The sequence below is a fragment of the Homo sapiens genome, chromosome X, assembly GCF_000001405.40.
Source record: "Homo sapiens chromosome X, GRCh38.p14 Primary Assembly".
Classification (NCBI taxonomy): domain Eukaryota; kingdom Metazoa; phylum Chordata; class Mammalia; order Primates; family Hominidae; genus Homo; species Homo sapiens.
This window is the reverse complement of record NC_000023.11, coordinates 16,204,371-16,221,276: the sequence shown is the minus strand read 5'-3', so window position 1 is coordinate 16,221,276 and position 16,906 is coordinate 16,204,371. Positions and strand designations below refer to the sequence as shown.

At 40.8% G+C, this 16,906-nt stretch overlaps 1 annotated feature.

Annotated features, from left to right (window-relative positions):
• Positions 4,946-5,766: an enhancer, noted in NCBI's record as "OCT4-NANOG-H3K27ac hESC enhancer chrX:16233634-16234454 (GRCh37/hg19 assembly coordinates)". NCBI's record gives its function as "activates a minimal SCP1, AML or CMV promoter by ChIP-STARR-seq in naive and primed H9 embryonic stem cells {active_cell/tissue: H9 hESC(naive and primed)}" and the evidence as "EXISTENCE:reporter gene assay evidence [ECO:0000049][PMID:30033119]".

Sequence of the window (16,906 nt, the reverse complement as noted above, 5' to 3'; positions counted from 1 at the left end):
CTTCTCCCTTAGCCTGTGTTCTCAAAAACTTAAAACCTCTTCAACTCACACCTGACCTAAAACCTTAACATCTTATTTTCTTCTGCTATGCCGCTTGGCCCCAGTACAAACTCGACAATAGTTCCAAGTAGCCAGAAAACAGCACTTTTGATTTCTCCATTTTACAAGACCTGGATGATTTTTGTCGAAAAATGGGCAAATGGTCTGAGGTGCCTGACGTCCAGGCATTCTTTTACACATCAGTCCCTCCCTAGTCTCTCCTCCCAATGCGACTCGTTCCAAATCTTTCTTCTTTCTCTCCTGTCTGTTCCTTCAGTCTCCACCCCAAGTTCTGAGTCCTTTGAATGCTTCTTTTCTACGGACTCATCTGACCTCTCCCCTTCTCCTCAAGCTGCTCGTCGCCAGGCCGAGCCAGGTCCCAACTCTTCTTCAGCCTCCACTCCCCCACCCTATAACCCTCCTATTACCTCCCCTCCTCACGCCAGGTCTGGCTTACAGTTTCATTCCACGACTAGCCCTCCCCAACCTGCCCAACAATTTTCTTTTAGAGAGGTAGCTGGAGCTGAAGGCATAGCCAAGGTTAATGCTCCTTTTTCTTTATCCAACCTCTCCCAAATCAGTTAGTGTTTAGGCTCTTTTTCATCAAATATAAAAACCCAGCCCAGTTCATGGCCCGTTTGGCAACAACCCTTAGACACTTTACTGCCTTAGACCCAGAGGGCCCAGAAGGCCGTCTTATTCTCAATATGCATTTTATTACCCAACCCACTCCCGACATTAGAAAAAGCTCCAAAAATTAGATTCTGGCCCTCAACCCCACAACAGGACTTAATTGACCCTGCCTTCAAGGTGTGCAATAAGAGAGAAGAGTTGCAATTACTTGCCTCTGCTGTGAGAGAAACCCCAGCCACATCTCCAGCACACAAGAACTTCAAAACATCTGAACCGCAGTGGCCAGGCATTCCTCCAGGATCGCCTCCCCCAGGAGCTTGCTTTAAGTGCTGGAAATCTGGCCACTGGGCTGAGGAATGCCTGCAGCCCAGGATTCCTCCTAAGCTGCGTCCCATCTGTGTGGGACCCCACTGGAAATCGGACTGTCCAGCTCACCTGGCAGCCACTCCCAGAGCCGCTGGAACTCTGGCCCAAGGCTCTCTGACTCCTTCCCAGATCTTCTTGGCTGAGTGGCTGAAGACTGACACTGCCCGATCGCCTCAGAAGCCTCCTGGACCGTCACAGACACTTTGGGTAACTCTTACAGTGGAGGGTAAGTCCGTCCCCTTCTTAATCAATATGGAGGCTACCCACTCTACATTACCTTCTTTTCAAGGGCCTGTTTCCTTTGCCTCCATAACTGTTGTGGGTATTGACGGCCAGTCTTCTAAACCTCTTAAAACTCCCCAACTCTGATGCCAACTTGGACAACATTCTTTTATGCACTCTTTTTCAGTTATCCTCACCTGCCCAGCTCCCTTATTAGGTCAAGACATTTTAACTAAATTATCTGCTTCCCTGACTATTCCTAGGCTACAGCCACACCTCATTGCCGCCTTTTTCCCCAGTTCAAATCTCCTTCACATCCTCCCCTTGTATCTCCCCACCTTAATCCACAAGTATGGGACACCTCTACTCCCTCCTTGGCAACCGATCATGCACCCCTTACCATCCCATTAAAACCTAATCACCCTTACCCCGCTAAATGCCAATATCCCATCCCACAGCACACTTTAAAAGGATTAAAGCCTGTTATCATTTGCCTGCTACAGCCTGGCCTTTTAAAGCCTATAAACTCCCCCTTACAATTCCCCCATTTTACCTGTCCAAAAACTGGACAAGTCTTACAGGTTAGTTCAGGGTCTGTGCCTTATCAACCAAATTGTCTTGCCTATCCACCCCGTGGTGCCAAACCCATATACTCTCCTATCCTCAACATCTCCTCCACAACCCGTTATTCTGTTCTAGATAAACCTAGTTGACCCCATAAATCCTAAATCCTTTCCCCACTCCCCTTTCCATTCCTTAAAAAACAGCCCTAAAAGCTGCTCCCACACTAGCACTCCCTAACTCATCCCAACCCTTTTCATTACACACAGCCAAAGTGTAGGGCTGTGTGGTCAGAATTCTTACACAAGAGCCAGGACTGCACCCTGTAGCCTTTCTGTCCCAACAACTTGACCTTACTGTTTTAGCCTAGCCCTCATGTTTGCATGCAGTGGCTGCCACTGCTTTAATACTTTTAGAGGCCCTCAAAATCACAAGCTATGCTCCACTTACTCTCTACAGTTCCCATAACTTTCAAAATCTATTTTCTTCCTCACACTTAACGCATATACTTTCTGCCCCCAAGACCCTTCAGCTATACTCACTCTTTGTTGAGTCTTCCACAATCACCATTGTTGCTGGCCCAGACTTCAATCCGGCCTCCCACATTATTCCTGATACCACACCTGACCCCCATGACTGTATCTCTCTGATCCACCTGACATTCATTCCATTTCCCCATATTTCCTTCTTTCCTGTTCCTCACCCTGATCACACTTGGTTTATTGATGGCAGTTCCACCAGGCCTAATTGCCACTCACCAGCAAAGGCAGGCTATGCTATAGTATCTTCCACATTTATCATTGAGGCTACTGCCCTGCCCCCCTCCACTACCTCTCAGCAAGCCAAACTCATTGCCTTAACTCAGGCCCTCACTCTTGCAAAGGGACTACTTGTCAATATTTATACTGATTCTAAATATGCCTTCCATATCCAGTACCACCATGCTGTTATATGGGCAGAAAGAAATTTCCTCACTACATAAGAGTCCCCCATCATTAATGCCTCCTTAATAAAAACTCTGCTTAAAGCTGCTTTACTTCCAAAGGAAGCTGGAGTCATTCACTGCAAGGGCCATGAAAAGCCATCAGATCCCATTGCTCAGGGCAACACTTATGCTGATAAGGTCGCTAAAGAAGCAGCTAGCTTTCCAACTTCTGTCCCTCATGGCCAGTTTTTCTCCTTCTCATTGGTCACTCCTATTTACTCTCCCACTGAAGTTTCCACCTATCACTCCCTCTCCACTCAAGGCAGATGGTTCTTAAACCAAAAAAATTTGTATCTCCTTCCAGCCTCACAGGCCTGTTGTATTCATAACCTCTTCCATGTAGGTTACAAGCCATTAGCCTGCCTCTTAAAACTTCTCATTTCCTTTCCATTGTGAAAATCTATCCCCAATCCGCCACTCTTGACTCCCTCTTGGAGTGGATAGATGATCTTTGCTGACAGGACACACTCCAACACTTTCACCCTGATGAAGTCCTATTCTTTACTTTTATACTCACTCTTATTCTCGTTCCCGTTCTTATGCCACCCTCTACCTTTCCCCAGCTATCTCCACCACACTATCAATCTCACTCACTCTCTCCTAGCCATTTCTAATCCTTCTTTAACAAACAATTGCTGGCTTTGCATTTCTCTTTCCTCCAAAATCACCGAGGCCTCGATTTACTCACTGCTGAAAAAGGAGGACTCTGTATATTTTTAAATGAAGAGTGTTGTTTTTACCTAAATCAATCTGGCCTGGTATATGTCAACATTAAAAAAAACTCAAGGATAGAGCCCAAAAACTCTCCAACCAAGCAAATAATTACGTTGAACCCCCTTGGACACTCTCTAATTGGATGTCCTGGGTACTCCCAATTCTTAGTCCTTTAATACCTATTTTTCTCCTTCTTTTATTTGGACCTTGTGTCTTCTGTTTAGTTTCTCAATTCATATAAAAACCACATCCAGGCCATCACCAATCATTCTATACGACAAATGCTCCTTCTAACAACCCCACAATATCACCCCTTACCCCAAAATCTTTCTTCAGTTTAATCTCTCCCACTCTAGGTTCCCACGCTGACCCTAATCTCGCTCGAAGCAGCCCTGAGAAACATCGTCCGTTATCTCTCCATACCACCCCAAAAAATGTTCGCTGTCCCAGCACTTCACCACTGTATTGTTTTGTTTTTCTTATTAATATAAGAAGACAGGAATGTCAGGCCTCTGAGCCCAAGCTCAGCCATCATATCCCCTGTGACCTGCATGTATACATCCAGATGGCCTGAAGCAACGGAAGATCCACAAAATCACTGAAAATAGCCTTAACTGATGACATTCCACCATTGTGATTTGTTCCTGCCCCACCCTGATACATATATTCTCCCCTGCCCTTAAGAAGGTACTTTGTAATATTCTCCCCGCCCTTGAGAATGTACTTTGTACGCCTATCCCAAACCTATAAGAACCAGTGATAATCCCACCACCCTTTGCTGACTCCTTTTTCGGACTCAGCCTGCCTGCACCCAGGTGAAATAAACAGCCTTGTTGCTAACACAAAGGCTGTTTGGTGGTCTCTTCACACAGATGCGTGTGACACTAACAGCTTTAAGTATGAATTATTTTAAGTTTGAAATATTTTATTTCACAGACCCTACAAAAATCTCATGTTAAAATTTGATTCCCAATGTTGGAAGTTGAACCTAATGAGAGATTACTGGGTCATGGTGGCATATCTGTCATGAATGTCTGGGCGCCACCCTCACAGTAATGAGTGAGTTTTCACTCTATTAGTTCCTGCAAGAACTTGTTAAAAAGAGTGAGGCACCCCTCCCTCCCCGTGTCTTTTTGCTTCCTCACTCACTATGTGATCTCTGCACACACTGGCTCCCGTTTGCCTTCTGCCTTGAGTGAAAGCAGTCTGAGGCTTTCACCAGATGCCCAATCTTTCAGCCAGGAGAACCATGAGCCAAATAAACTTCTTGTCTTTATAAATTACTCAGCCTCAGGTTTTCCTTTATAGCAACACAAATGGACTAAGACATGGCACTCGGGCATGCTAAATGCTTTTGAAAATTGAAAGGCCTCAGAAATAAGCCTCAGAATCAAGGTCCCTCTAACCTTGTTCCTCTCCCACCCAGTGTAGGGAAGAACTCTCTCTGGAAGTTCCTTATCTGACCAAGAAAATTTATTATCAAAAGAAACACAACTGTCTTCTATCCCCTCCCAGTTACCTTATCTATTGCAGAAAAGAAGACGGAAGAATGCAGCCACACCTGGATGAACTTTTCCATGAGATAATACCTGCCTCTTGGGTTCATTAAAATTCCAAAGAGATTCACATATAAGTTAATTTATCTCTGGTTCATTCATTCTTCCTAATAATCTCTTATTGTCCCTCAAAATAATTGTCTACATTTCCCATCTCCTCCCTCCTCTACAGAAAAAGGGTATATAAGGTTCTATATCCCATTGGGGGGTGGAGTAATCACTCTGTGATTCTCTCCCATACAGGTTAATAAATTTGCATGCCTTTTCTCCTGTTAATCTGCCTTTTGTCAGTTGCTATTCAGTTGAACCTTTAGAGGGCAAAGAGGATGTTTCCTTTCTTGGTTCCTATAGGACAAAAGAAACTACTGAGTATTTTTTTAATGAAATGCTGGAACCTCTGGGGATTATCTCTTGCCACAAGGGTGTGCGCCTTTGCCTTTGTCTAGGCTATTATATGACTCTGAAGAGATAGATGTTAACTGGTGGAAAACTGATGGCAATGTAAATACTTATTACATTACATAGAAATGCAAATTAGCTGTGTCTAGTGAAATGCAATTCATTACTGCCCAATGGTTAGACCACTTTTTTGCAAACTTATTTCAACAACTGTACATACATTTATGGTTCTTTGCCTTCTTCTATGAACTGGTTGTAACGTCTTTTCCAGGTCCCTGTTAATTGATGGGTTAAATAAAAATATGTGATGTAATCATTTTATACTTGCATAAGAGTGATGATTTTACCTTTTTTGAACATTATCCTTTAATCTGTCTTATCAAATCAAAATTATCCTTATGCCATCTCTATGAGAGCAGCCTAAACTGCAGGGTGGGGCTGGCTGCACTAAAAGATAAAAAAGAAGGCTGGAGTATGGGATGAGCTAAGGTGATTCTCAGTGTTGGGGACTCTTGGCTCTCTTTTAAGTATATCTAAGAATAGGACAGGGGCAGGGAATACATGAAAGGGAGAAATAACTCTTTGGTGAAATGATTTATGGTAGGATAAGAGAACTAGAAGGTAAATCAATGGAAAGAGTGCTGGGAGAGTGGTATTTACTCTCCTCCTTCTTCCTCCTAGATCTGGGTTCTAGACCCAGTTCTGCCAGCTAGTAGCTGTATGACCTTGTGTAACTTTTCTAACCTCTCTAGTTTCCTCAAATAATCATACTATCTCCTAAGGTTGTTATAAGAATTAAAATTAGGCCGGGCGTGGTGGCTCACGCCTGTAATCCCAGCACTTTAGGAAGCCAAGGCAGGTGAATCATTTGAGGTCAGGAGTTCGAGACCAGCCTGGCCAACATGGTGAAACCCCGTCTCTACTAAAAATACAAAAATTAGCCAGGCATGGTGTTGCACGCCTGTAATTCCAGCGACTTGGGAGGCTGAGACAGGAGAATGGCTTGAGCCTGGGAAGTGGAGGTTGCAGTGAGCTGAGATCGCACCACTGCACTCTAGTCTAGGCAAGAAAGTGAGACCCTGTCTCAAAAAAAAAAAAAAAGAAAAGAAAAAGAAATGCAGAATCTAAGGCCCCATCCCAGATCTGCTGACCCAGAATATGCATTTTAACAAGATGTTTCCCTGATTCATATGGACTTTAAAGGTTGAGAAGCACTGATATAGAACATACAGTAACATATAAATCAGACAATTAAGTACAGTATTAATCATGTGATGTTTATTAATTGATGGTTCCCAGCTGATGGATGCTGGGCCACATTAAAATCATATGGGAAACTAACATGCAGACCCAGCCCCAGAGATTGTGAAATTCAAGTGGGGCCCAGAAAAAAATTTTTTATGGTTCACAGCCAGCTATGGGAGCAGGGTATGAGAAGTGGGAGTTCTGAAAAAGGATGAAATGAAGCAGAGGAGTGGGCCTTGACTGACCCTTGAAATATGGGTTCCATTTTTGGAGAATGAGGAGAATATATGCACGTGTGTATGTGGAAACAAGACTGTAAGACAATGTTATTGTAGCTTCTTCCAGAGAGGGAGAAATAAAAGCACAAACGAAGGAAATATTGCTCCCTGGGGAATTTTGGCAGAATTTTAAAACAATAACATTTCTCTGGTTAGAAACAAGGATGATACCATGCTGCTCATAATATCTCAGGGGCCAATGTCACATTTGATTTATGTTTAGAAACAATTTGAATGGATAGAACATTTTTCTTCTCAATTCCCACTTGGGGCTAATATATAGTCTTTTTCTCACATAAAAACAGTTTTCAACTCTTGCTCTACATTGAGCAGAAATAATCTAAGCTTGGATTCATTTCAAGATGTTTCCCATCAGCTGGGAAACATTTCTGTGCATTGGCACTATAGTTTAACTTCAATGAGTTCATTAAAAATCAAATAGGATAGTGGGGTGTGATTATAATTTGAAATGTGGGAAATGCTATACAAATGTCAGCTCATGATATGACTCTTTCTGGCCTTCCTATGGTTTGTATTCCTTCTGCCTCTTTCATCCCTTCCCCCTTAAGTCTAACTCTGCGCACAACCTTGCTATTCACCATGGGTCTTCTTGACTCGTGATCAGATCAGATGTTCCTCCCTCCACAATTTTCTTGATACTTTTTTGTTGTTGTTAACTCTATACTTACACGTCCAGCGTTTCACTTTATAATTTTGGGCCTATAAATTATGCATTTATATGCAGGTTTTCTCTATGAGACTTGAAGCTCTTTGAGGCATATGATAATGTCTTATTCATTTTTGAAAATCTAATGCTGGAGGTTCACTTCTCATATGTTTGTGGAGGGGAGGAAAAAATAATTTTCTCCTCTATCCTTCTGAGTTCTTAATTGAGATGGATGTCTTTAACAAAAGACAGATTAACAAGAGAAAATCCAACAGAAGTTTAATAGCATGTATACCTCATGTATACATGGGAGATACTCAAGGGAAATGAGTAACTCTTTAAGAGATGGCTTTGATTTCAGACTTAAATATCATCTTTAACTGAAATCAAGAAAGAAGCGTGTTGGGAGGCCAGTAACGAGGAGGTGGCCAGGAAAAGCATGGTAAACAGGGTAAGGTTTGTGGTGCAGAAGTTTAATATAAAGACATAAAAGTAACTCTAAGGGATAACTTAGAGAGAGAGACAAAGAGGAGTGGGGAGGAAGAGAGAGGAATCAAGGAGGAAAAACTTAGAAGAGGGCCTGTTCCCCAAGGATGCGTTTAGACCTCATTGCAGAGGATGTGGCCACAGCCTACTGGATAATGAAGAAGTTTGCTGGGTTGCCCTGACCAGAGCTGGGCCACAGTCACACAGCCACAGAGGCTGATAGGCTGGGGCATAGAGGGAGTCAGGGTATCTGCAGTCCACTCACTGGCAGGGTGGTACACAGCCCTTGATACATGGTGCCTTTGTGGGAGGGCTGTAGAAACTAATCACTGGGGCACCAGTGAGCCAAGGCACTTGGGTGGGTGTGCAGAGAGAGCTGGGGTATCACTGCCAGCATGAGGCCTGGAGTTCACCAGTGTCCACCTTAGGAGGGCCATGTCATGGAGATCACTGGATCTGGGCCAGGCTGTGGGATTACTGAGTTTTGGTACACTCTCAGCACATAGCTGGGACAGAGCACCACTAGATGTCCCTATACACATGCACCATGCAGCAGAAGCAAGAAAAAGCAAAAATCAGCACAATGGAACCAGGAAAAGAAGGCCCCTTCCTCCTGTAATGTCCCTCTACTGACAAAGCTGACTGTAAAGGACATGTTTACTATAAAGGACAAATGATTTAAGAGTCTAGGCTATTGTTGCAGAGCAGGTACTGAAGGGTGAATTTGGAGTTGAGAGGCAATAAATTCATGACTGACATGTATTGCAAGTTTCCACCAGCTCTTTTGAGCTCCTACCATCCATGAAAACAGCATGGCCCAAAGAGCCACTGCATCTTCAGATTGAGTTCTACAATGTGGAGCAGACATGAACCATAGGTAGTGTTAGGCCTAGGCTGGCTGAGATCGTTGAAATGACAGCCAACTTATGACTCATGAGTATCAAACAAATATTCATTGCAGCAAGTTCTTGAGATATTTGAAGCTATTTGTCATACAGAAAAAAATAACTAATACATCGATTTTCCTCCATATCCCTTGTGCCAGTGCCTAGATTATAAGATGAGATCAATATATAGTTTTAATTGAATTGTTATACAGACTCTGGGTCCATTTTCTGATTTTTCTGAAGGTTTAGCCCACATGTTGTCTAATGGGCTACAAATTGAGTCACCACTTCAGGTACACAGCAGAACAGGAATAACATCATGAAGAATCTTAGTAGATTTCAAATTGGCTCTTTTAAAGAAAAAAAAAAAAAACTCTTTTAATGGAAAACTCAAACCCAGGAATTGCTTTTTAAGCTTTTGGAATCCACACAGCTCATTCAGTGTGGAACCTTTATATGATGCAGCTAGGCCATTAGGTCTGGCTTCATCATCTAAAGTGGTACCTTTTTTATGTGGCTTTGGGGGAACAAGGTGAAAACTAATCAGAAGATTGCCTTGTATGTGAGCTGGCTATTTATTGCTCAAAGGGTGAATTTATGGGTGAAGAGAGAAAACAGATAATCCAAACATGGCCCCTACTTGTAGGGTTGCAACTATCATACGTTAATTTTATGTTCTAATCTTTTTCTCCTGTTTGAGGTCACAGCACAACATCACACCCTCACATATAATTGACTACCAGTGAAGAATTCTGTCCTTTCTTAATTATTATGCTGATATTACTTTCATTACACCACAAAGAACCATCAGCAGGAATTAACACATTCTTCAGTCAATTGAAATTATGTTATTTAAAAAGACATTCCCTTTCAAAGATGCCTGGCAGAAATTCTGGCATCGTATCCTAAATATGATTGTTGGTTTGGCCACAAATGTTTTCCATTGCTAACAATATACTCGAGAGCTTTTCACTGGTTTTCATGATGCATATAGTAGAGCTTCCCCCTAATTTATTGACCAGAGCTATGTTTATGGAGCTTATCATCTCTATGTTCTGCCCCAAAACCCCATACTCCAAATGAGCTACACTTTATCTGTTGTCACTTTGGACTTCATGGTGCTGCTGCTACTAACAGTAGCCACTCCTTGCAAGTCATCAACACTCTGTCATGCAGGGGTTTTGATTTAGCTTTTCGTAGCAGGCTTTTCTGATTAAACACACTGTAAACTCTACCTTTCTCAATGGCATAGTTATTTATTTTCCTTCCAAGGATGTTCATTAAAGGGCTTTCAAAATAAAATAGTACATTATGTTGATATTCTTTTAGGTCCACAACCTCTCTATATTTTATACTTTTAAAGTTTCCCCTTTCTTTACTGTAATACTCATCTAAAGAATCCAAAATTGGTTTCCATTTGATTTTGTTTACTCTCTTTCTAAGTTCTCTTTTTCTGAGCTAAAATAACATTTGATATGTATCTCTGAATGAGGGTTTCCAAAGAGTAGAAATGACATGATCCCTTACAAGTGGAAGCTTTGGACAGAATGTAGACCTTGATAGAATTTTAGACAAAGTTTTCTTCAACTTTCTCCTTTTGCCATTGAGGTTTAGAGAGGCTAAGTGACCTGTACTAGGTTAAATAACTAAGTGATGGCATATTTGGGACCAGGAATCAGTCATCCTCTCTTCTCTCCCAGTTTTCTTTTCACTGGATCATGACACAGAATGATAAAATGGGAGAGCAGGGAGGGATGTTAGAGATTACTCTATCTAACCGTATTATTTGAAAGATGAGAAAGTAATGCTAGGGAAATTTGGATATCTGGCATGATCGTGATATTCTTGGCCTTCCAAAAAATATCTTTCATTCTTTTTAATCTCAAAATAAGAAGCTTTTCAGCAAATCTCCAGTCCCAGGGACTGGCCCTGGTGAGACAATTCACTGAGGAAATCTGTGGCTTACACCCACATGTCTGTTAGGAAGCTGAGCCATCTTCACGAGTAGGCAGAAAAAGGAGGTGCACTAGGAAATCTCTCTCAACCAAAATATCACCCCACACATATCCTCTTTGGGAGACTAACTCTTCTGGGTTCTGAAGGCTTCTTTCTATCTTTCAGAGTTCCCTATTAAAATGCACATAATCCTAGAAAGAGAATCATTTTGAGTCATTTCAGGTGTTATTTATTTATTTATTTATTTTGAGACGGAGTCTTGCACTGTTGCCCAGGCTGGAGTGCAGTGGCGCGATCTCGGCTCACTGCAAGCTCCACCTCCCAGGTTCACGCCATTCTCCTGCCTCAGCCTCCTGAGTAGCTGGGACTACAGGCGCCCGCCACCACGCCCGGCTAATTTTTTTTTGTACTTTTTAGTAGAGACAGAGTTTCACCGTGTCAGGCAGGATGGTCTCGATCTCCTGACCTCGTGATCTACCCACCTGGGCCTCCCAAAGTGCTGGGATTACAGGCGTGAGCCACCGCGCCTGGCCCCATTTCAGGTGTTATTAGTGAATATTCAGATTTTCTCTGAGAGAAAGGCTTCCTTGATGTGCTTTTGTAATAGACGAAGAGAACCAGGAAAAAAAGAGTCCTGAAATGAGATGTCTGTCTTCAAATCAAGCTCCCTAAACCATGTCTGGGACTGAACTAGACTTAAAACCTTGCTGCTTTACATAGGCTGTGTTCTTAACATCAGCAGAAAGAAACACAATCACACTGAGTATTTTTATTTAAATTATGCAAAAGTGTGGGTAGAATCCCTGGATTTCCTTCTCAAGCTCACTTTGCAACTACTAATGATCCCACATAGAGAAAAGGGGAAACATTGGAACTGATGCTTAAGTGAACAAATCTAAACACATTCTTGACTTTATTTAAAATCTACATATTTCATCAATTCCAAGATATATTCCCACTTCCCTATATTAACATTCTGAAATCAAGATGTTTCTAATGGCTGGTGGTGTCTTACTATCATTGGCAGCCAGGTGGGCACTGTCACGTAGTTATCACATGGATGGGCACCAGCTTGACCACACAGTGTTCATATTACCATTTCAATAGACTTATATGTAGTGTTATTTGTTCACATAGCAATGTAGTAATAAATATAACTGGTATTTAAGTTTAAATTTAACTAGCACTTGAAGTATCTTTAATGGATTATTCCATGATTTGGTATTAAAACATTAAGATAATGTGAATACAGAGAAGCGGAGAAACAGAGCAGCAGGGTGTAAATTTGATATTAATGAAACAAATATCTGTCATGGAAGGAATGATGACAATTTTACATTTTCTTTCAATGCAACAAGCAACTGCTTTATGGTTATCTAGGAAAGGAAGATATCCACAGGTAGATGAAACTCTGCTGGATTTTGCCATTCGTGTTCATCCAAAAGCTTTACCTACACCTCATCAGGCAAGAATGTGCCAATATCAGCACTTGCAGAATGAGTGTCAGCAGCTTGCAAGGAAATTGCAGGAACAATAGTGGAGCACCATCTTAAGAAATGCTGTGTTACCAGAGCTCTCGAAAACATAGAGGACAAGATCATATGTACTCTATGGTATGACACAGACGTAAAACCAAAACATGGACATGGAAATTTTGTAACGAAAAATGATTCAAAAGAGTTAGACAATAAATTTGAAAAATCCTTAGGAATTAAATCAGTTTATTCCATTCATATTTCCCTTTTAGATATATGCATAATAGTGAAATATGATTAAAATCTGTGCTTAAATAAGTCTAAAAAACTTCTTTTAAAAGCTATACAATAAAATTTATAAGTAATTAAGAAGTATTATAACTTAAGTACTTTTTGTTTCTTAGTGTTACATAAATAATGGTACATCTTATAATTGATGACATCTTAGATTCAGTGTTAATTAGTGGCAAAGCCTGGAAAAGTCCAGATCTTCTAACTGTCAAATACCTCACACAATGTCTATTACATAGAATGTACTCAGTGAATAGAAGAATTGCTGAAGAAAAAAGAAGAAAAGAAACAATAATGATTACAAAATCTACCCGGGGTGAATTCTCAGTAGCAGAGAATAGCAATATCTATCAGAGAAGAAAGCCAGCCCTTAAGTAGACTGTCAATTTACTTTGACACATACAACTCAAAATTGACCACTTTTACCTGGTATCTGAATGTCTGCTGAAAGATGATGAGAGGCATGAACATGAATTATCTTGATTTTCTATTTAGAGGATGGATAATTACCTATGATGATTTTTTAAAATACCTGTGAAGACTCAGGAGGCCAAGTACGGTTATGGAGTTAACCTTTTAGTTTGGTTGTTGTCAAGCAGCTGTAAATCAGATAAAGTGTGGAGGGCAAAGTCTTAGAGGATAAGAAGCCAGACAGAGGTTATAAGGCCATCAGAGGCTGTAAGGAACAGCTTGCTGGCACTTTTCCAGTTTTGCCTCCACTTTGGACCATGCACAAATGCACTGTGAAGCATCATTGGTACTGCAGTGTTCAAATACAATTGATCCTTGAACAACACAGGTTTGAACTGCATGAATCCACTTATAAGAAGATTTTTTCAATAGAAGTTACCAGTGTGCCCTGCCTCTCCTGCCTCCCCTTTCACCTTCTCCACCTCTTCCACCTCTGTCACTCCTGAGACGCAAGACCAACCGCTCCTTTTTCTCCTCCTCCTCAGCCACTTAACATGAAGACATGTTAACATGAGGACAAAGACATTTATGATGCTCCACTTCCACTTAATGAATAGTAAATAATGCATATTTTCTCTTTCTTATGATTTTATTAATAATATTTTCTTTTCTCTAGCTTATTTTATTGTAAGAATACAGCATCTAATATGTATAACATACAAAATACATGTTAATACTGCTTATGTTATCAGTAAGGCTTCCAGTCAATAGTAGGCCACTAGCAGTTAAGTATGTTTTTTTTTACTTTTTAAAATTTTTCCATAAGTTATTGGCATACAGGTAGTGTTTGGTTACATGAGTAAGTTCTTTAGTAGTGATTTGTGAGATTTTGGTGCACCCACCACCAGAGCAGTATACACTGTACCATATTTTTAGTCTTTTATCTCTTGCCCCCTTTCCCACTCTTCCCCCCAAGTCCCCAAAGTCCATTGTATCATTCTTATGCCTTTGCATCCTCATAGCTTAGCTCCCACATATCAGTGAGAACATGTGATGTTTGGTTTTCCATTCCTGAGTTACTTCACTTAGAATAATAGTCTCCAATCTCATCCAGGTCACTGCAAATACCATTATTTCCTTCCTTTTTATGGCTGAGTAGCATTCCATCATATAAATATACCACAGTTTCTTTATCCACTCATTGATTGATGGGCATTTGGGTTGGTTCCAGGATTTTGCAATTGCAAATTGTTCATTAGCAGTTACGTTTTGGGAGTCAAATTTATACGTGGATCTTCAGCTGCATAGGGGTTGAGATCCCTAACTACCATGTTGTTCAAGGGCCAATTGTATCAGAGTGTTTTGAGATAACAAGTGCCAAAATGGAGAGGCAGAAGCCAGGAGCTCATTCCTGAAGAAGGTATGTTGGAAACAAAAAATTGTACTATTTCCTTAGAATCAAGGTGCTCCAGAGAACAACTGGGGATTTATCTGAAGTCCATTGAGTTTCTCATTCTCTCCAAATGGAAAAAAAGAAAGACATTGATTGTGCAACTATTACAGACCAGGTGTTTTATCTACATTATCTCACTTGAACTCCTTTGACAATCTTGCAAACAATGTATTTTTGTTACATTTTTAGATGACAGGAATTCAGGATAAAACAGTTGAAGTAAGTTGACCTTGGTGTCACAGCATGAGTGACAGAGTTTGAAAACTCTGCTGGACCCCAAAACTTATGCTTGCCACTCAACATGCTTCAGTCTCACACAGGGAGAAAGACACATACAGGATGTCATGTCAGGAAATACAGAAATGAAGAGTATAAATGTGGCATGTTGCCGGAGGGTTCAATTTCATTCAAAGGTTGGGGGAGAGTCATTACTTTCATATTAAAATAATCATAGACTACTATATGCACATCACATTGGCTAAAAATTTTAAAAGACAGAACATAACAAATGTTGGCAAGGATTTAGTGCAACTGGAACTCTCATACACTGCTGGTGGGAATGCAAATTGACAAAACCACTTTGGAAAACGGTTTGGCAGTATTATAAAAGCGATTATTTGCCTGTCTTACGAAATTTCAATCCTTGATATATTTCCAACAGAAATTGGCTCAGCAAAAGGCACAGAAGAATGTTCATAGTTGCAATATTAGTAATAAGCACAAACTGAATGAAATTCAAATGTTCATTAACAGAGGAAAGAATTGGTACATGTTTACCCAACAGAATACTATTATTACTCTTACATACTACAACACAGATGAAACTTATAGTCATGATGTAGAATGACACAAGCCAGATACAAGAGTTTGTTGAGTATGATTCCATTTGGTTCAAAAATAGGCAAAACAAATCCATGCTCTTAGAAGTCAAGATAATGATTACCCTTGGGGTGGGGATGGAGTAGTAGACAGTGACTGGAAGAGGACACAATGGGGCTTTTGGGCCTGCTGGTAATGTTCTGGGAGCTGATCGCGTGGTTGCTTCCAGTTTGTGACAGTTTATTGTGTTGTAGACTTAAGATTTGGACAGTTTCTGGTATGGATGTTATTGAGCAGCATGCAAAATTTTGATGAAATTTTGGGATAGAACAAAGCAGATCAAAGAATTTTGTATTTGTGATGGATTGTTTTGTTTTCAGAAACCATTTCATAACTAGCCCTCACCTGATGCTGGGACCAGGGTCTGGCCTCAGAAATCGGAGAGGATTTGGTCCCTTCTCTACCTTCTTTGTGCATTGATATCAGTCCCATCAATGACCCTTATCAAGTTGAGAACAATGAGACCCCAGATGTCCTTAACGACCTAGAAGTTGGCTCTCCAGAAGGTACCTGGACTTAGTCTACCCAGAGAAACTGAGGGTCCACAATAAAATAGCAGTGTCCTGTGGAGTGTTGGATATTAACATTCAATAGCAAGTTTATACATTGTGGAAACCAATTATGTTAAAGACACAGAGAAACCCAAGAGCCATTCTATGACACACATACATAATTCTGTTGCTGATAAGAAGTTTAAACCTTCCAGGAGCTGACTTGAATGGCCTTGCTCACTAGTACTTTTGTTTTTCACTGCATCTATTTAAATGCTACTTTTTATGACATTTCTCTGGAGCTAAAAGGAATTTTATAATTACTTATGTGTGGACCAGTACTTCAATATAAGGTGGAAATTTACATCTTATAATTGCTCTCACATGGGCTTTTCCGCCTTGTTTCTCCTCACTGGAGCAGATGCTAAGAGCATGGCAGACGTACAAAAGTATTGACCTTGATCTGAATAGGCCTTGGTTGAACTTGTGCCAGAACTCATGACTTCAAAAGATCTTTTGGAATAAACAGAGTCAGGTGAAACAAATTTGTTCTTTACTAAAGCAGAGCCAACATGTGAGTAGATGGCACAGTCACTTGGGGGCCAAGAAAGGTCTCTTTGATCTAGTGTCTAAGGGTAGGAGCCTAGAGATTAGCCTTCTGTTAAGAATATCCAGAAATGGAGCAAGAGGACTGATAAGATTCAAGTGGGTGGCACCACATACCCTTCAGTCTAGTTTTCGTTTTTATTTTTAATTTTTGTGGGTACATAGTAAGTGTATATATTTATGGGGCACATGAAATGTTTTGATACAGGCATACAATGTGACATAATCACATCATGGAGAATGGAGTATCCATCTTTCTCAAGCATTTATCCTTTGTGTTACAAACAACCCAGTTACACTCTTTCA